At 41.8% G+C, this 19,857-nt stretch overlaps 1 protein-coding gene and 1 pseudogene across 5 annotated transcripts in view, besides 4 other annotated features; both read left to right on the forward strand.

The window, feature by feature from the left end:
• Nucleotides 454-1,420, forward strand: LOC100129693 (mitochondrial ribosomal protein L19 pseudogene; annotated as a pseudogene).
• Nucleotides 12,177-12,226: an enhancer, noted in NCBI's record as "active region_21707". NCBI's record gives its function as "activates an Ori minimal core promoter by ATAC-STARR-seq in GM12878 lymphoblastoid cells {active_cell/tissue: GM12878}" and the evidence as "EXISTENCE:reporter gene assay evidence [ECO:0000049][PMID:35858748]".
• Nucleotides 12,296-13,230: an enhancer, noted in NCBI's record as "NANOG-H3K27ac-H3K4me1 hESC enhancer chr4:88343613-88344547 (GRCh37/hg19 assembly coordinates)". NCBI's record gives its function as "activates a minimal SCP1, AML or CMV promoter by ChIP-STARR-seq in naive H9 embryonic stem cells {active_cell/tissue: H9 hESC(naive)}" and the evidence as "EXISTENCE:reporter gene assay evidence [ECO:0000049][PMID:30033119]".
• NUDT9 (nudix hydrolase 9) overlaps nucleotides 12,408-19,857 on the forward strand; it is a 36,883-nt gene continuing 29,433 nt past the window's right edge. For 3 of the 5 annotated variants that reach the window (XR_007057928.1, NM_024047.5, NM_001248011.2), the window contains exon 1: nucleotides 12,408-12,847. Coding sequence is in view for 2 of the 5 variants with exons in the window: in NM_024047.5 (NP_076952.1) it covers nucleotides 12,741-12,847 (107 nt within the window). In the remaining 3 variants the exon portion in view is untranslated. The remainder of the gene's footprint in view (nucleotides 12,848-19,857) is intronic. The other 2 variants (NM_198038.3, XM_011532032.3) reach the window with 2 other exon arrangements.
• Nucleotides 13,774-14,277: an enhancer, noted in NCBI's record as "H3K4me1 hESC enhancer chr4:88345091-88345594 (GRCh37/hg19 assembly coordinates)". NCBI's record gives its function as "activates a minimal SCP1, AML or CMV promoter by ChIP-STARR-seq in naive H9 embryonic stem cells {active_cell/tissue: H9 hESC(naive)}" and the evidence as "EXISTENCE:reporter gene assay evidence [ECO:0000049][PMID:30033119]".
• Nucleotides 14,278-14,779: an enhancer, noted in NCBI's record as "H3K4me1 hESC enhancer chr4:88345595-88346096 (GRCh37/hg19 assembly coordinates)". NCBI's record gives its function as "activates a minimal SCP1, AML or CMV promoter by ChIP-STARR-seq in naive H9 embryonic stem cells {active_cell/tissue: H9 hESC(naive)}" and the evidence as "EXISTENCE:reporter gene assay evidence [ECO:0000049][PMID:30033119]".

A 19,857-nucleotide genomic window follows, 5' to 3' on the forward strand; every position in this document is an offset into this window, starting at 1 on the left:
ACAGCCTCAACCATGCTGATTGAATTCACATACACAAATATCAAAGGATCGTTAAATACTCCCTGGGAGGAAATTTCCTATGATGTTTGCTTTCCCACTGTCTAAAAGAGATTATATCACACATTGTCTTGTCTCCTCTTACTGTCTATACTCCCTTTTCTTCCCTCACCGTCAGCTGACCACTTTGTCTCCATTGACATAAACAGAAGCAATCACAAGGAATGCCCTTATCTCCCAGCCACCAAATCAATCAAACTCTCTGTGGATGTATGTCCAGATAACTCTTGTCCTACTTCTTGCAGCACTGCTACTATACACAGTAATTTTTATTTGATGCAAACCCACAGTTTTCAGTTCTTTCTCTAGCTGTAAATATTGATGAGAGGTTACTTATGGAACCTTACAGAACTCACCAAAAGGAAGAAAAATTACTAATTTAAAACATGGAAACTGGTAGTCTCAACGTGAGCAAGCTAGCATGGTGGACTGCATTGTGGCGGGGTATGGGGTTGCAAGGAACCTAGGCTGGAGTCTCCAGGCTCAGGGCTGGCCTCTGTTGCTTGCAGTTCTTGAGTCCCTAATTCATTCCTCCAAGGGGAAGAATAAATCCTCTGAAGTTTCAAATAGGAAGAAAAGTTATGTTAGAGAGGAGAAAAGTACTCCACATTCCAGAGTTCTATGTTGGAAGTATTCTTTGTGTTACTACAGCTGACTCATATGCCAGTGAAAAAATCAGCCAGTTTCTGGGGATTTGCATCTAGAGATCAGGAAAAGGACTTGGGGCTACTTTTATCCTTAGGAATGTTATTGAAGGACAAGGTGTTAAAATTTGCTTTGAACTTTATAATCCTCGAATCCGGGAGACTCAAGTGGTCAAATTAGAGAAATGGGTGGATGATAGCTTGCTGTGGTTACGAGATGCTTTTCCTGAATATAGCACTGTTGATGTGAATATGAAGCCAGTAGCACAAGAGCCTAGCCAAGAAGTTCCTGTTAATAAGCTGAAAATGAAAATGAAGCCTCAGCCCTGGTCCAAATGCTGGGACTGTCCAAATTTTAATATTTAAGGAATAATATTTGATCCTTGTTTCACTGAAGAACAAATGAAAGCAGCTTAGAAGTAGAGACAGCTGTGGCTTGAATTTGATACGATGAGGGAATATGATGCTTTAAAAATTGAAGCTGCAATATGGGATGAAAATGAAGCATCCAGAAAGTCCTGATTCTGAGAATGAATTTGGTTACTTGCAGAAGATATATTGGCTCTAAGAGGATATATTGAGAGACCAATTTAATTTCATTTATAAGAACACAGTCATTAAATGAACTAAGCATTCATTGTTTCATCAGTACTTTTTTCTAAAATAAAACTTGCACACCAGTTTATTACTCTAAAAAAAAAAAGAATTATATATGCCAAATGGTCCAATATCCATTCCCTTACTGGAGGCACAGTTACAATAGGAGTCAGAGCATCACCAGAATGCTCTTTAATGAGCATGGAATCTGAGCAAGGGCATTGGTGGTGATCTTTCTTAAATTGTGAAATAAATCATAAGCACAACAATGTATGATTTACAGAATAATAAAATGGACATTTACATAACCATCATCAGGTTAAGAAACAGAACATTTAGGCAGGGTGTGGTGGCTTACGCTTGTAATCCCAGTACTTTGGGAGGCCAAGGCGGGCAGATCACTTGAGGTCAGGAGTTCGAGACCAACCTGGCCAACATGGGGAAACCCTGTCTCTACTAAAAATACAAAAATTTGCCGGATGTGGTCATGCATGCCTGTAATCCCAGCTACTTGGGAGGCTGAGGCAGGAGAATCACTTGAACCCGAGAGCTGGAGGTTGCAGTGAGCCAAAATTGCACCACCGCACTCCAGCCTGGGTGACAGAGTGAGACTCAGTCTCAAAAAAAAAAAGAAATATCTGAGAAGGTTAAGAAATAACATTGAATAAGATCTAAAACAAAAAAGGAAACTATTCCACATTTTGTTTTTCAACTAGCTGTTAAATCAGATAATTTTATTTTCTTTATATAGCAAATGTCAGTTAGGCTGGTCCGATAGTAAGGGATATCAGAACTTATTAACATTAGTGTCACTAAAGTTGGTGTACAGCCCTGCCCCTGCCACCCCCCCCACCCCGTGCCAGCTAAATTTGACTGGCTTAAAAAAAAAAACACCAAAAAACAGTCCATGAAAGCTTTGAAAACTACTTACTTTCAACTGCAAAAGCACATTTTCTGAAATTTCTTTCACATAACACATGGTAACATTTGCAACGACTGTCTTTGAATAACTTTCTCTTGCCTAATAAACAATTTGAGATAGAATTAACAAGACCTTTTTTAAAAAAATAAATGTTGGCTGGGTGCGGTGGCTCACGCCTGTAATCCCAGCACTTTGGGAGGCCGAGGCGGGTGGATTGTCTGAGGTCAGGGGTTCAAGACCAGTCTGGCCAACATGGGGAAAACCTGTCCCTACAAAAAATACAAAAAAATTAGCCAGGTGTGGTGGCGTGAGCCTGTAATCCTAGCTACTCGGGAGGCTGAGGCAAGGAAATTGCTTGAACCAGGGAGGTGGAAGTTGCAGTGAGCCGAGATCGCACCACTGCACTCTAGCCTGGGCAACAGAGTGAGACTATTGTCTCCAAAAAAAAAAAAAAAAAAAAGTTCTGTTAATGGATGGTTTGTTGGGGTTTTTCAAATGTCTTGACAATGTCTCAATCCCATTTTGGAACACACAGCATGTTGACAAAGGCTTGCTTTTTTTTTTTTTTTTTACAAACTAAGTATTTAATTTTTGGTTCTTGTCTTGATGGAGCAAGGTATATTAAAGATTTATCAAAATTTACACTCATGAACTATGACCTGTGAAGACAGATGTTACATGGACTACAGCACAGAGCATGAGTTAGGAAGACACTTAAGGAAACCTGTGTAGTTCTCTACAGCCCCATGGGAGTAGTTCTATGTCTGTTAGAATAAGACTATAGTTGCACCAGTAGATTCTTTAAGGAAGAGAGGAGAGTAGGAAGAGGGAACCTGATTTTCTGAGCACTTAATATGTGTCAGACCTTGTGCTAGCAGGACTGCATAAGGATTTTTGCTTGTTCTTCGTTTTATGTCTAGTGACCCTTATTCTTCCTTCAGATCTCAAGTGTTTCTTAGTATGTGGAGCTTTCCCAGACTTGACCAAATTTGCCTATCACAAATTCCTAGAGCACCATGTACCTCCTATCATAACATGCATCATAGTTGCAATTTGACATTTATTTGCATGATTATTTTTACCAATATTATCTCCCCAGTGAACTTGTCAACTCATAAGGGCAGCCCAAATCAACCAGTGGTGATTGGTTTTGCTTCCCATTGTAGCCACAGTATCTGCCACAGTGCTTGTATGTATCAGGAATTTAATAAATATGAAGTGGACAAATGCATGGTTGAAATTTAAGCTTATAGTCATATAGATCTACATTTGAATCCTTATGTAGCAAACTGAATAAAACCTCAAAAGATATCAGGTCTTAATCCTTGGAACCCATAAATGTTACCTAACATGAAAAAAGGGTCTTTGCAGATGTAGTTAAGAATCTTGAGATGATGAGATTATCCTGGTGGGCACTAAATGAAATCACAAGTGTCCTTATAAAAGAGCAGGAGAGGCTGGGTGCAGTGGCACATACCTGTAATACTAGTGCTTTGGGAAGTCAAGGAAGGTGGATCACCTGAGGTCAGGAGTTCAAGACCAGTCTGGCCAACATGGTGAAACCCCATCTCTACTAAAAATACAAAAATTAGCTGGGTGTGGTGGTGCATGCCTGTAATCCCAGTTACTTGGGAGGCTGAGGCAGGGGAATCGCTTGAACCTGGGAGGCAGAGGTTGCAGTGAGCTGAGATCGCACCACTGCACTCCAGCTTGGACAACAGAGAAGGACTCTGTCTCAAATAATAATAGTAATAATCATAATAATAATAATAACAAGAGAGGAAGAGGAAAATTTGATTCAAACAGGAAAGGGGAAGGCAATGTGACCACAGAAGCAGAGATTGGACTGATGTGGCCACAAGCCATGGAATGTTAGCAGCCACCAGAAGCTCTAAGAGGCAAAGAATGGATTCTCCACTGGAGCCTTCAGCGTGAGCATAGTCCAGTAGACACTTTCATTTTGGCACAACAAAATTGATTTTGGACTTCTAGTCTCCAGAACTGTGAGAAAATAAATTTCTGTTATTTTCAACTACTAATTTGTGGTAATTTGTTATGGCACCCATAGAAAACTAATACATCTGACTCTAGAAATTATTAGATAGGCTTTGTGAAGTTGGGCAAGTTATTTAACTTTTCCGAGTCTGAACCTTATCTCTAAAATAGAGACAATCACACCAACCCTCCTGGGGGTAACTGTCAGCTCTAAACGTGGTAATATGTGTAAAGTATATAGCCAATTGTAGGTATCACATTGCAAATGCTTGAAAAAAATAATTACAATTTTTTGTTAGACATTTTATAAAACTTATCTTCTTTAATTCTTATAGCTGTATGGTGTTGATTACCATATCTCCTCATCGTTATAGGTAAGGAAACAGGCATAGAGAAGTGAATGTGCCCAAACTATATAGTCAAAATAAAAAAAAAAACACCATGAGCATAAAATTTTTGAAATACTTTTAGATGTTTTTATATTTGAGTATCTTATTGCCCTGAGGCACTCCATCCATTGAAATAATGGTTTCTGTGCTTTAGGGGGAAGAACAGATATGAATAGGAACAAAGAAGCAACTGTCAAATGGGATTTTTGAGTCTCCAGCATAGGATTAATCTTGAAAGCCAGGCTTTGTCAAGTGAGAAGGGGTTTAAAAAAATCCTTCTGCATGGATTAACTTATCAAGAAGCAGGACTGGTGAGTGTGAAGGGTTTCTTTAACTGAAAAAACAGAAGTTATGACAAAAAAATTTTTTCCATAAGGAAAGAGAGAGAGGGAAGGAAGCTACTTCTGACCCAGTGAATTGTGGGAAATAAGAGGGAGATGACAGAAGTAGAACCAAGTATTAGTCGGGTGTGGTGGCTCATGCCTGTAATCCCAGCACTTTGGGAGGCTGAGGCGGGTGGATCACTTGAGGTCAGGAGTTCAAGACCAGCCTGGCCAACATGGTGAAACTCCATCTCTATTAAAAATACAAAAATTAGCCAGGCGTGGTGGTGTGTGCCTGTAATACCAGCTACTCAGGAGGCTGAGGCAGGAGAATCGCCTGGACCTGGGAGGCGGAGATTGCAGTGAGCCGAGATCGCACCACTGCACTTCAGCCTTGGCAACAGAGTGAGACTCTGTATCAAAAAAAAAAGCAAGTATTAAGAATCCAGTACCCTGATCCCACACAATGCCCATTTGAATGCTGCTGTTTATCCAGTTTCAATGTTTATAACATCTACTTCTCTATGTTGTGAACAATAAAGTTTGGTGGAGTTTTAATGGCTTCTCATTGCACTTGGGATAAGATCCTAATTTCTCAGAATGGCCCGTAAGGCCTTAGATGTTTAAGTTTTCAGTCAGGATTTTTACATAAAATTAACACAATCATAATGATAGGGTTTATTTTCTTGATTAGTCCAGAAGCCAGCTGTCCAGGGCCAGTGTATCTACTTGAGGAAGTCATAAAAGACAGGCTCCTTCTTGCACCCAACTCTGCCACCCATACTGTGTGGCTTTTGTCAGTATTGGTGTCAGGATAGCTCCTCCTTCTCTAGGAATTATGTCCTCCTTTCAAGCTGGAATAAAGGAAGGAGGCGAAATGGCAAAGGGTAAATGGTGCTTATGAAATGAGCTAATTCCTTTTTACCAGGAAAACAATACCCTTTCTGGAAGACCCACACAGTAGACTTCCACTTTCATCTAATTGACCAGAAAGAGCCACATGGCCCCTTTAGCTGCAGAGAGAACTAGGGAGGTGAAAGTTAAAACTAGGCATATTTCTACACATAATGTGGAAGAAAGAATGAATGGGTATTGGGAAGCACCCAGCAGTGTCCACCATACTGGCCTTAGTACAGATTATTATGCCCCTAGTTTACTATGCTTTAGTTTATTGGCCTTTCTATTCCTTGATTATTTTATTTTATTTCATTTTTTTTGAGATAGAGTCTCGCTTTGGCGCCCAGGCTGGAGTGCAATGGCACAATCTCGGCTCACTGCTACCTCCACCTCCCGGGTTCAAGTGATTCTCCTGCCTCAGCCTCCTGAGTAGCTGGGATTGCAGGCAGCCACCACCACGCCCAGCTAATTTTGTATTTTTAGTAGAGAAGGGGTTTCACGTTGGTCAGGCTGGTCTTGAACTCCTGACCTCAGATGATCCACTTGCCTTGGCCTCCCAAAGTGCTGGGATTACAGGAGTGAGCCACTGTGCCCAGCCTCCTTGATTATTATTTTTATTTCTTTCCTACCTCAGATCTTTTTTTCAAGGTACAGTCTTATCTGCCTTGAATGCTCTTTTCCTAGCTTTTTCAATGACTGGCAGCTTCATGTCCTTAGGTCTCTGCACAAAAGTGACCTCATCAGAAAAGACATCCTTCCCCTGCAATCTAAAGTAGTCACTTCTCCCTCAACTATCCTGTCCCTCAGCAGTTATCTATTTCCTTCACAACAATTTTCCTAATCTGGAATTCCTAGTTTATTGGTTTACTTATTAATGTTTATTTCCCTCTCATATAAAGTAAGCTTCATGAGAGTAAGACCTTGTCCATTTTGTTCACAACTGTATTCATGGCACCTGGGGTGGTATGCTTGGTAAATAGTATTATTCGTCATTATGGTATAATGTGAATAAATGCAAACCTGAAAGAGGAAATCCTTTAAGATGGATCCCACGTGGCTAACAAATTTTAAACAGAGCCAAGTGGCCATTTGCCTACTAAAGGTCACCCACATACTCTGAGTTCACTGAAAACTCACACCTCTATTGAACTTTGGGATTTACAGAGCTCACCTGAACCAACCAATAAGCTCAGCTGTGCCAACCAATCAGAATTAAGCTAGCTTGAATCCCTCATTTGTGTAAACAGACCTAGTTAGTAATCTGGGTGGCAATTTTGGTTATAAAATCCAAACCGTCTCTCTGTTCTCTGGAGCACACTTCTGTTTTATACCAAAGGCTGTGTTTCCCTGGTTTGCAAACTGTTCACTGGAATAAAGTCTCTTTCCTCCAAATTCCTTTTCAGAGAATGTTTGTTTACAATGACTAAATAAATGCAGAAAAAAAAAAGAGAATGTGTTAGGCCATTCTTGCATTGCTATAAAGAACTACTTGAGGCCGGGCACGGTAGCTCAAACATGTAATCCCAGCACTTTGGGAGGACAAGGAGGGCAGATCACGAGGTCAAGAGATCAAGATCATCCTGGCCAACATGGTGAAACTCCATCTCTACTAAAAATACAAAAAATTAGCTGGGCATGGTGGCATGGGCCAAGTAGTCCCACCTACTCGGGAGGCTGAGGCAGGAGATTCGCTTGAACCCAGGAAGCAGAAGTTACAGTGAGCTGAGATCGCGCCACTGCACTCCAGCCTGGTGACAGAGTGAGACTCCATCTCAAAAAAAAAAAAAAAAAAAAAAAAAAAAGAATAAAAGAAAGAAATACTTGAGACTGGGTAATTTATAAAAAAAAGTGTTGTGGGAAGTCAGGGACCCTGAACGGAGGGACCGGCTGGAGCTGTGGCAGAGGAATAAATTGTGAGGATTTCATGGATATTTATCAGTTCCCAAATAATACTTTTATAATTTCTTATGCCTGTCTTACTTTAATCTCCTAATCCTGTTATCTTCGTAAGCTGAGGATGTATGTCAACTCAGGACAACTGTGATAATTGTGTTAACTGTACAAATTGATTGTAAAACGTGTGTTTGAACAATATGAAATCAGTGCACCTTGAAAAAGAACAGAATAACAGCGATTTTTTAGGGAACAAGGGAAGACAACCATAAGGTCTGACTGCCTGCGTGGTTGGGCAAAAAGAGCCATATTTTTCTTCTTGCAGACAGCCTATATACAGACGTGCAAGTAGGAGAGATATCACTAAATTCTTTATCACTAATATTCCTAGCAAGGAATATTAATATTAAGACCCTGGGAAAGGAATGCATTCCTGGCGGGAGGTCTATAAATGGCCGTTCTGGGAATGTCTGTCCTATGCGGTTGAGATAAGGACTGAGATACGCCTTGGTCTCTGGCAGTATCCTCAGGCTTACTAGGATTGGGAAACTCCTTCCTGGTGAATTTTTGGTCAGACTGGTTCTCTGCTCTCGAACCCTGTTTTCTGTTAAGATATTTATCAAGGCAATATGTGCACTGCTGAACATAGACCATTAACAGGAGTTCTGATTTTGCCCTTGTCCTGTTTCCTCAGAAGCATGTGATCTTTGTTCTGCCTTTTGCCCTTTGAAGCATGTGATCTTTGTGACATACTCCCTGTTCATACACCCCCTCCCTTTTTGAAATCCTTAATAAAAACTTGCTGGTTTTGCGGCTCAGGTGGGCATCATGGTCCTACCGACATGTGATGTCACCCCCGGCAGCCCAGCTGTAAAATTCCTCTCTTTGTACTCTTTCTCTTTATTTCTCAGCTGTCTGACACTTATGGAAAATAGAAACAATCTACGTTGAAATATTGGGGGTGAGTTCCCCCAATAGAAAAGAGGTTTAATTGGCTCACGGTTCTGCAGGCTGTACAGGAAGCATGGTGCTGGGCATCTGCTTGGCTCCTGGTGAGGCCTGAGAAAGCCTACAATCATGGTGGAAGGCAAAGGGGAGCTGACATTTTGGCGAGAGTGGGAGCAAGAAAGAGGTGGACAAGGTGTCATACATCTTTAAACAACCAGATCTTGCATGAACTCACTATCACAAGGATAGCACTATCACAAGGGATCCACCCTCATGACCCAAACACCTCCCACCAGACCTCACCTCCAACACTGGGGAATACATTTCAACATGAGATTGGAGGGGAGAAATATCCAAACTATATCAGGGAAATAGTTGGGATTCTGAATTACTCTTACTTTTAACATACTCATCAATTCTAATAATCACATATGTCACTTTCCTATTTAAAAATTCTCATTTCTCAGTGTTCTTGGTCTGTCTCACCAACTATTGCAAGATGCCCTTGAAGTTGGTATATGCTTCATAAATTTTTAAAAAGTCCTTACTTCTCCTTAAATTCTGATGACATCTGTTTAACTAATTTAGGATGTGGGTAATTTGATGAGGAGATGTTTTGTTTCTACCCAAGAGCAGGTTGCAGAACATGCACTCACTACACCTGAGCAGATGTGCAGTATGCATCCCTGAAGGGAGGAACCCAGGAGATCTGGCTGTCCCAGCTAATTGCAGTTTTGTTTCAGTGCCATGGAATTGGTTTTGTTTGTACAGTTGTTTGCACAGGTTCATCAAACTAAGTTCACGCTAGCCTCCCCTTAGGGAATATGGAGTTATAAGACTAGGGTCTGAGGAGCTTCCTGTGAGAACTACTTTCTGTTGCTCCCTTTCTTTGATTGTTGACTTTGTAACTCACTGCTTTTCTCCTGTCTTCTCTAGTGACTAATTTGTCAACAGACTTTGGACACGCTGAACTTGATGAACAGAGCCGGTCTAATACATTTCCAGTTTAAGCAGTGATTAACAACACTGAGAGCAAAGTTTATCTGACCAGAGGAAGCCGAGTACTGATATTTATCTTTAAAATGCACATTTCAATAATAGTACTTCTCAACCTGAGAAAGCAGTCAAAATAAACAAAGCTGGACACTAGTTAAAGCAGTAAGGACAGACTTTATTCAGTGATGCTAGTCCAATAGGGAAAAGAGTGTAATACAAACTAATCCCACACTTCCCTGAAACAAAAGGCTGTGGTATGCAAAAAGGAAAGGCACAAAAGGATCTTAAGTTTTGGGGGGTGGCAGGGGGGCACGGTGGTTTGTTGATTGATGTGATTAGGCCATTTGGGTTTGTTAACTGGCTCTTATCCAGAGGAGAAACAAACTTCTATCTTTATGATAGGAGGCAGTGGTGCTAGCTAAAGCAAGGTACCGGTCTTGTACAGGGACTAGGAGCTAGGGTGAGTTATCTTTCTGAATATTTGCATTTCAAAGAGATGGCTCCCAAGTCTTTGAGGAAACTGTGTTGGGTGGTAGACTTACATCACCAAGGGTAGAGAAACAAGCTTTCTAAAGTGACTGCTCTAAGAAGGGGTTCAGGGACCTATCTGCCTATCATCAAGTTTTGGCTGGAACAAACAGTAAATTCTCCAGGCATTGAGTTTTGATTTCAGGGAAGCATTTTAACGGGATCTGGGGTCAGCCTAGGGACAAGGCCTTAAGCTACTGGAAGCTATGCTAGAGTATAATCAAATCTCTCAGTGCCGAGAAAAGAACTTTTATATGAGGAAGGTAAATCCTTTTAAATTACCAGGCCCAGAGAGACATTAAAATGAGACAGCAATTACATCCTACTCCCCACTTTGTTATGCATTCATCTCTTTAAACTGCTTACTATAGCCACAAGTAGCTAAAAATTAACCTAATAATGGTACACTGGACACTGTAACTCGCACCCTATAGCTTAACGTATAGCCAACCACTAACCAATACTATTTCTACAAACCAGTAATTCTTTACAACTTTGTATCAGTCAACTCCCTGTCCCCTTTTTGCCTTTAAAAACCTGATTGTAACAAAGGTGGACAGGAGTTCACATTTAAGGTTACTTGGGTCTGGGTCTTCTGGGCAGCTGTCCTCACTTTGGCTAAAGTAAATGCTTTAAGTTCTATCTCGTGCCTCAGCGTCTAGGTTGACAGTGTAGTTTGAACAGTCAATACCTGTCGAGAGTTCTGCAGTTTTCAGAACAATGGTTGTTAAAATTCGATTAATCTGGCTTTTAAGATGGTCAAAGTTTTGTAACGTCGGTGTATTGGAACCACACCACAGAAACAGCGGATCATGTAAGTAAAAGTCAAATAGTTGCCACATCAATAAGCTAATATAAATGAAGTAAGCCTGATTACAAGCTGCTTTGGACAGTCTGGGTTTCCAACTTTGTTTGTCGGTTTGTTTAATTTTTGCCTCTCAAGTTTATTATCCAGTATTATGTGTGTTGCCCTCTGTTCCTCCTCCAGCATGTGTGCCTATTTTCACAGCTTTTCTCCTCCACGAGTTTCCAAGGGCCACAACTGGTCCTAGCAAAGCCTTGTGAATGAAATCCAGCAATTGGAGCAGACAACTTGGTTAAGAAAACAAAAACAAAAAACCAAGAAACCCTTCAAGATACGAGGGCTGAGTCTCTGGACTATCTCCTCTTGCTGTAACCGCCCAAGGGGTTCACCTTTCCCGCTTCCTAGACAGAGCTGATTCATCAAGACAGGGGAATTGCAATAGAGAAAGAGTAATTCATGCAGAGCCAGCTGTGTGAGACCGGAGTTCTATTATTACTCAAATCAGTCTCCCTGAGCATTCAGGGAGCAGAGGTTTTTTCTTTTTTTTTTTGATACGTAGTTTCACTCTTGTCGCCCAGGGTGGAGTGCAGTGGTGCGACGTTGGCTCACTGCAACCTCCACCTCCCGGGTTCAAGCGATTCTCCTGCTTCATCCTCCTGAGCAGCTGGGACTACAGGCGCGTTTACCACCATGCCCAGCTAATTTTTGTATTTTTAGTAGAGACGAGGTTTCACCACGTTGGCCAGGCTGGTCTTGAACTCCTGACTGCAAGTGATCCCGCCTCGGCCTCCCAAATCAGTCATAATTTTGCAAAGGCGGTTTCATTCCCATAACGAAGTATTATTCAAAAATATGGCTAAGACCTGCGTCCTTCCGCAACAACTTACTCCCTAAAAAAACCAGAGCAGGGCCAGGCGCGTTGGCTGAGGCCTGTAACCTCAGCACTGTGGGAGGCCCAAACAGTTGGATTATTTGAGCTTGAGAGTTGGAGACCAGCCTGGGCAACATGGCAAAAATCTGTCGCTACAAAACATACAAAAATTAGCCAGGTATGGCGGTGTGTGCCTGTAGTCCCAGCTACGTCGGGGGCTGAGACAAGAGACTCGCTTAAGCCCAGGAGGTTGAGGCGGCAATGAGCTGAAATCGCGCCCCTGCACTGCAGCCTGGGCGACAGAGCCAGACTCTTGTCTCAAAAAACAAAAACCAAAAACCCAGGGCAGCAAGTCTCTCTCAAACCCCTTGGCTTCTTTCCCACTTATTCCCGTTCCAGTTCCTCGTCTGTTTCACCTTTCCTTTCCTCTGACACTTTCTTGGTAGTTCCCTGCGTCCCCAAGTAAGCCTGCGCAGACTGGGAAGTCTGGGAAGTCGGAGAAGGAAGGCGCTACCAAGCCGGCAACGCACGACCTTTGCTTTGCGGCGCGGCCGTAAAGCGCCATTACGCAGAGAGAAAGTTACGAGGTTCGTGGCCGCGGTTTCCCCAGGCAGCTGGCGCTGGAGGCTTCGGCGTCACGTGCTGGTCTGGATTTTTCTCGATGCACTGGGGAAAGCGGTGGACTCTTATCGTGGGAGGGCTCTTGATCTGTGATTTATAGATAGGCACAGCTACTCCCGTTCGGGAACCCAACGGCAGACAGGTCCTAGTGCCCATCAGATACCCGCGGCCGGGACTCGGAGCTGTGGGGTGTGGGGAGGCGGAGGCACCAACTAAGAGCGACCTAGCATCGCAAAGCCGCCCTCGGGGCGCTCATGGCGGGACGCCTCCTGGGAAAGGCTTTAGCCGCGGTGTCTCTCTCTCTGGCCTTGGCCTCTGTGACTATCAGGTCCTCGCGCTGCCGCGGCATCCAGGCGTTCAGGTATTCCACCCTCCTACTACCGGCTCCTTTGCCCTAGACCTTGAGTTGGGGGTGGGAAGCAGCTTTTTTTTCTGGCGTATTCTGTAGGCTTTGCTTTGCCTCTCGGGTTTTTATAGTCATATACAAGTTTTCAAAAAGGCTCTAAAATATTTTATCTGCCTTTTGAGGAAAACGAGTGGCAGGGACCCTTCTTGACTTCTGATTTTGAAATTTGCCATTCTCTGTAAATCATTGTTAGTATCACGAGAGAGTTTAAATAGCAATTGTTTGGGGTGGTGGTGTCCCGTGCCATTTTTTTATGGTTAATACTTAAAACATTATTATTAGTATTAATACATGTACATAGTTAAAACAACTTGAAAATGTAAAATGAAAAGTAAAATCACTATTCCCCCTGTCCCCTTTCCAGGGTGGACAATATATTATATTTACTATCTACCTCCTTTTTTTTAATAATTTGTCTATTGTGGTTAAATTTAGGGATTTATGGTGTCTTACACTGCCTCCTTCTGTTCTTCCCTTCTCCAGTTTTTATTCTTTGAGTTAGTAAACACAGGGTCCTAGGTGCAGCAGCCTTTTCTTATTTTATAGATATTAAAAGTCTTGAATCTACAAAGATGATAATTAGAAAAATCTATTTCCTAAATAATTTACTTACTGTTGGTCAATTGTTCTGTGTCTTTTTGGTCCTGTTTCCTTCTGTTGCTTTTTCTCGAACATGTGATGGGCACTGGTTATCTGTCTATATTTTGATTAATATGAGTAATAGGTCTTGTTTTCAGTACATGGGTCGCTAATTGACTTTTGGCTCTGTACCAGGTTGCCTAGATAGGAAGGTTTCAGTTGAGGGCATGTGAGCAGGTACCAGATGGGTAGACTGGGAACCTGCCTTTTGCTTCAGGCTTTGCAGTAGTGGTGGAGCAACTTCTCTGCTGAGTATAGCTGTTTATTTCCTCCGTGTGAACTGTAAAATTATTAAGCCTAAGTTTCTGCTGTGTACTCTTAACACCAGTATTCACAGTAGGGGTCCTACCCCTTCATTTCTAAAAAACTTTTGATTTTATCTTGGAGACAAACATAACTATTTTGGACTTTTTGCTTGGAGATTGGGGAGGGAGGAGGACTGAGTGATTTCCATGGTTATTGTCGCGCTGCCAGTTTATGATCCTTGGGCCCACTGACTTCAAGCTTGAAACCTCTAGCTCGGCTCAGCTTGTAGGAATAGCATTTCTCCCTAATGCGTTTTTTTTTTTTTTTTTTTTTTTGAGAAGGAGTTTCGCTCTGTCGCCCAGGCTGGAGCGCAGTGGCGCGATCTCGGCTCACTGCAACTTCCGCCTCCTGGGTTCAAGCGATTCTTCTGCCTCAGCCTCTTGAGTAGCTGAGATTACTGGCGCGCGCACGCCCGGCTAATTTTTTTTGTATTTTTAGTAGAGACAGGGTTTCACCATCTTGGTTAGGCTGATCTGGTCTTGAACTCTTGACCTCGTGATCCGCCCGTCTCGGCCTCCCAAAGTGCTGGGATTACAGGCGTGAGCCACCGCGCCCGGCCTTGGTGCATATTCTTATTTTACTTTGTCCTACTCTGGTTTGTAGGTCAATATTCCAACAACTTTTCATTTTCCTGAAGTTGGTTACCATCTGTCATTCACTGGTGGCATTTATTCCTTCTCCTGGTACGGATTTTATTTCCCTTTATCTATCTTTATCTTCTTTTAGTGGGATTTGAGGAAGGAAGGAATACACGTGTGTGCTCTCTGGAAATCTCTAATGCTCTTTTTGTTAGATGCCAGCAGAACAGTGTAAAGTTGCTTGACAGTTATTCTTCGTTTTTGTAACTCTGGGAACCCTACATGAGGCAGGTATATCCAGAACCAGAGACTGTACTGACTTGAAAGAAAAAGCCAACAGTTAACAAATGTGCCAAGTACCTGGTAACTAATGTGGCAGAATAGCTTGAACCGGGGAGGTGGAGGTTGCAGTGAGCTGAGATCATGCCACTGCATTCCATTCTGGGTGACAGAGTGATACAATGTCTCAAGAAAAACAAAAAAAGAATTTTATGGCCAGGCACAGTGGCTAACACCTGTAATCCCAGTGCTTTGGAAGGCTGAGGCAGGAGGATCGTGTGAGGCCAGGAGTTTGAGACCAGTCTAGGCAACTTAGCAAGACCCTTGTCTCTAAAAAAAAAAAACTGGGCCTGGTGGCATGCATGTGTAGTCCTCACTATCAGTAGGATCAGAGTAGGCTCAGAGACTACTAAGTGATCAGTAGGATTGCTTGAGCTCAGGAGTTGAGTTTGAGGCTGTGGTAAGCTATGATCGCATCACTGCATTCCAGCCTGAGTGGCACAGCAAGACCGTGTCCCTAGTGTTCTTTTCCTTTTTTTTTTTTTTTTTTTTGAGATGGAGTCTTGCTCTCGTTGCCAAGGCTGGAGTGCGGTGGCGTGATCTTGGCTCATTGCAACCTCCGCCTCCCAGGTTCTAGTGATTCTCCTGCCCCAGCCTCCCTAGTAGCTAGGATTACAGGCGCCCATCACCATGCCTGGCTAAGTTTTATATTTTTAGTAGAGATGGGGTTTTACCATTTTGGCCAGGCTGGTTTCGAACTCCTGACCTCAGGCAATCTGTCTGCCTTGGCCTCTCAAAGTGCTGGTGAATACAGGTGTGAGCCCCCACGCCTGGCCAAGACCCTGTCTCTTTGAAAAAAAAAAAAAAAAAAAGAATTTTACCAGTCTTTGATAATTTGGAAAAACCCAGAAAGTGACAGTTTTGCACTTAGTTTTTGTGATTACTAGAAGGTTTCCAATGTTCATTTTCTTTTTTAATTGCTCTGTCACCTAGGCTGGAGTGCAGTGGTGTGATCATGACTCACTGCAGTCTCAACCTCCTGGGCTCAGTGATTGTCCCAGCTCAGCATCCTGAGTATCTGGTACTACCGGTGCGCACTACCAGGCCTGGCTAATTAAAAATTTATTTATTGTTTGTAGAGATGGGTCTCCCTATGTTGCCCAGGCTGGTCTCAAACTATTGGGCTCAAGTGATCCTCCTGCCTTGGCCTCCTAAAGTTCTGGGATTGTAGGTGTGAGACACTGCTCCCAGTCATCAAATGTACATTTTCTAGAAAAAAGGTAGTATATTACAAAGATGTAGTGAATGCTTTTACATACCACAACATACAAATCTTCCAGAAGGATCTACTGGTGATGTGTGTAGAATATTGTTTTATTCCTGTGAATGCATAAAACATATGAATGAACCAAAAATGAAATAGAGATAGTAAAACATAGTGTTAAGAGCCTGGAATTCTAAGACAGCTTGCCTAGGTTTGGATCCTGATTTCTACTCTCAATTGTGTGACCTTGGTAAACTTATTTACCTCTCTGGGTCTTAATGTTCTTATTTCCTTTTTTTTTTTTGAGACAGAGTCTCGCACTGTCGCCCCAGCTGGTGTGCAGTGGTGTAATCTTGGCTCTCTGCAACTTGTGCCTCCAGGGTTCAAGCGATTCTCCTGCCTCAGCCTAGTGAGTAGCTAGGATTACAGGCGTCTGCCACCATGCCTAGCTAATTTTTTTGTATTTTTAGTAGAGACGGGGTTTCACTGTGTTGGCCAGGCTGTTCTTGAACTCCTGACCTTGCGATCGCCTGCCTCGGCCTCCCAAAGTGCTGGGATTACAGGCGTGAGCCACTGCGCCTGGCCTTAATGTTCTTATTTATAAAAAAAAAAATTGAAAAAGGATAATATGGCCTGGTGTGGAGGCTCACACCTGTAATCTCAGCACTTTGGAAGTCCGAGGCAGGAAGATTGCTTGAGCCTAGGAGTTCAGGACCAGCCTGGGCAACATAGAGTGAGACCCCATCTTGACAAAAAATAAACAAAATTGGGAGTCGCTCAGCCTACCTGATTTACCAAACCACTCCCTTGCCAAAAAAAAAAACAAAAAACTAAACCAAAAAAAAAAAAAGCCAGGTGTGGTAGCATATGCCTATAGTCCCACCTACTCAGGAGGCTGAGGTAGGAGGATTGCTTGAGCCTGGGAGGTCGAGATTGCAGTGAGCCATGATTGTACCAATGCATGCCAGCCTGGGTAACAGAGTGAGGCCTTGTCTCAAAAAAAAAAAAAAAAGTTAAAAAAAAAAAAAGTACCTGAACTCAGTTGTGAGGATCAAGTGAGTTAATTTACAGTGCTTAGAACACTGTCTTGCACATAGCAATCACTATATACATTTAGGTGTGATTATGACAATGATTGTTGCAGATTTTATTTCAAAGCACCACGTCAGTATTGCATTTTTAAAAGTTTGCCAGTCTTAAGAATTGGTTTTTGCCATGTAAATGGACTTTATCAGCTACTTAGTTCCCATTTGCTAGGCCAAATATATTTCTTGCACTTGTTCAATAATACAATACAAAGGTCAAGGCTGTATATGTGTGTATTACAAGTATTCTTTTTTCTGGTACCTTACAGTGTATCACATTTAAATAGCATATATAGATAGCAGTGTTAGCACTTCTTGATGTGATAAGATGTATAGCCTGAATTTTTGCACAATTAAATTTGTTTTAGAAAAGTAAATAATCCAGTGTGTAAATCTGTCTTGTCAAGTAGGTAGATTTGTGGAATTCCATAAACATTTTATTGCTAAATCAGGGAACAAAGAGCCTTAAGTTATTTAAACATTTTTGGTACGTGGGTGGGATGGAGTGGAACAGCATTAGTGTTTCCTGTTTGGTATTTAATTAATGGCCTTAACTTTTTTCTTGCCCTACTCCCAAACCATGAAACATAACTCATTTTGTGATAGGGTTCAATTAGAGATTAGGGTTCCATATGTTAAAATTTTGCTTTTTAAAACACCTGAAGTCTGTTTGCTAATTTTGATAAATGTGTTTCATATATGTATTCATTTTTTATTGAGTATGGGTTTAAGGTGAGTGAGGGAGACTTTATTTTCAGAATATTCATTGTGTAGGTTTCCTAAACTGTGGCAGCTGAGGCAAGAAAGTTGTCATAATCATAATATGAAAGTGAATGAACCTACTGCTTTTAGTAAAGTTAGTCACAAATCAAATACTCGCTCACGTTACACTAGTTTTCAGCCCGTCTGGGGATATTAACTTCTTTATTAGTTAGGTTTTCCCTCATTTTTGGGTGTTTTACCACACTTTGCAGATGTAAAGTGAGTGTAAAATGAAATAGTAATTGTTTCAGAGTCTTTAAATGTGATGAAAGAGAACAGCTTGAACAGTATATAAAACTGTAGACACACAAGAATAGGAAAGAATGAAACCAGTTAAAAATCCAACTGACAGTTTGTCAGTTTCTTACAGAACTCAACACTTATAATTCAGCAATCACACTCTTTGGTATTTACCCAAATGAATTGAAAATTTATGTCCACACAAAAACCTGCACACAGATGTTTATAGCAGTTTTATTCATAACTGCCAAAACTTGGAAGCAACCAAGATGTTCTTCAGTAGGTAAATGGATAAATAAACTGCGGTACATCCAGACAATGGGATATTATATTATTTAGTGCTAAGAAGAAATGAGCTATCAAGCCATGAAAAGACATGGAGGAATCTTAAATGCATATTATTAACTGAAGGAAAGGCTGTATGATTCCAACTATATGGCATTCTTGAAGGCACAACTATGGAGACAGTAAAAAGATCAGGAGTTGGATGAATTGGGGTAGCACAGAGGACTTTAAAAAATAGTCATTTTTTTAGAGCAGTTTTTAGGTTCACACCAAAATTGAGCTAAAGATAAGAGATATCCTGTATACCTCCTACCTCCACCCATGCATAGCCTCCCGCATTGTCAACATCCCCACAGAGCCACGGAGCCATACGTTTGTTAAAATTGAACCTACATTGACGCTTCATCACCCAAAGTCCTGTAGTTTATATCAGGGTTTACTCTTGGTCTTGTACTTTATGGTTTGGACAAATGTATAATGACACGCATCAACTCTTATGGAATTGTACACGTAAAATTCACTGCCTTTAGGGCAGTGAAACTTGCGTATGATACCTAATGGTAGGTACATGTTTACACTATATACACCGAAGAGGGACCAGGAGGAAGTCTAGGAAGCAGTTCTTGTAAGTCAGGTTAAGAATTTTAATTAAAAAGGTTTCTTATTTTTTTAATGAGTCAGGATCTCACTATGTTGCCCAGGCTGGAGTGCAGTGGCGTGATCATGGTTCACTGCAGCCTTGACCTCCTGGACTCAGGAGATCCTCCCACCTCAGCTTCCTGAGTAGCGGCAACTACAGGCACATACCACCATGCCTGACTAACTTTTAAAATTTTTTGTAGAGATAAGGGTCTCACTGTCTCACCTAGGGTGGTCTTGAACTCCTAGCTTCAAGCAGTCCCCCTGCCTTGGCCTCCCAAAGTGTTGGGATTACAGACGTGAGCCACTGTGCCCCACTGAGAAGTTTCTTTTTATATATATATAATTATGTAATTTGCCCTAATTGCATAAATTTGATCAGGCATACCTCACTTTATTTGGTAAATTTGGGTAGTCTTTTTTCCTTCTCTTTTTTTCCTTGTTTCCTTTTCCTTCAGTTTTCTTATCCTTTTTAAATTTGTTTTTCTTTCTTGTTCTTTTTTTCTTATCCTTTCTTGCAACTCCCTTTCCTTTTCTCCTTTTCTCTCTCCCCGTTTCCCCCCCATCTTTGCCACTGTCTCTTCTTTCCCCCTCATCTCCTTTTTCTTCTCTCCTGTACTCCCCTTTCCCCCTCCCTTTCCTTTTCGTTCTCCTTCCTTTCTTTTCCCTCTTTCTGTTTGCCTCTACTTCTCTTCACATCAGCACCTTATTTCCTAGCCCATATTAAGAACCTGATTATATGGCTCCTTCTATATATGCTTATATAATAAATAGTATAGACAGTTGTGGTAAGCAGAATAATGGCCCCCCAAGTATGTCCACATCCTGATACCTGGAACCTGTGTATATGTTGCCTTACATAGCAAAAGAGAGTGCAGAGGTGGTTAA

The sequence above is a fragment of the Homo sapiens genome, chromosome 4 (assembly GCF_000001405.40).
Source record: "Homo sapiens chromosome 4, GRCh38.p14 Primary Assembly".
Classification (NCBI taxonomy): Eukaryota; Metazoa; Chordata; class Mammalia; order Primates; family Hominidae; genus Homo; species Homo sapiens.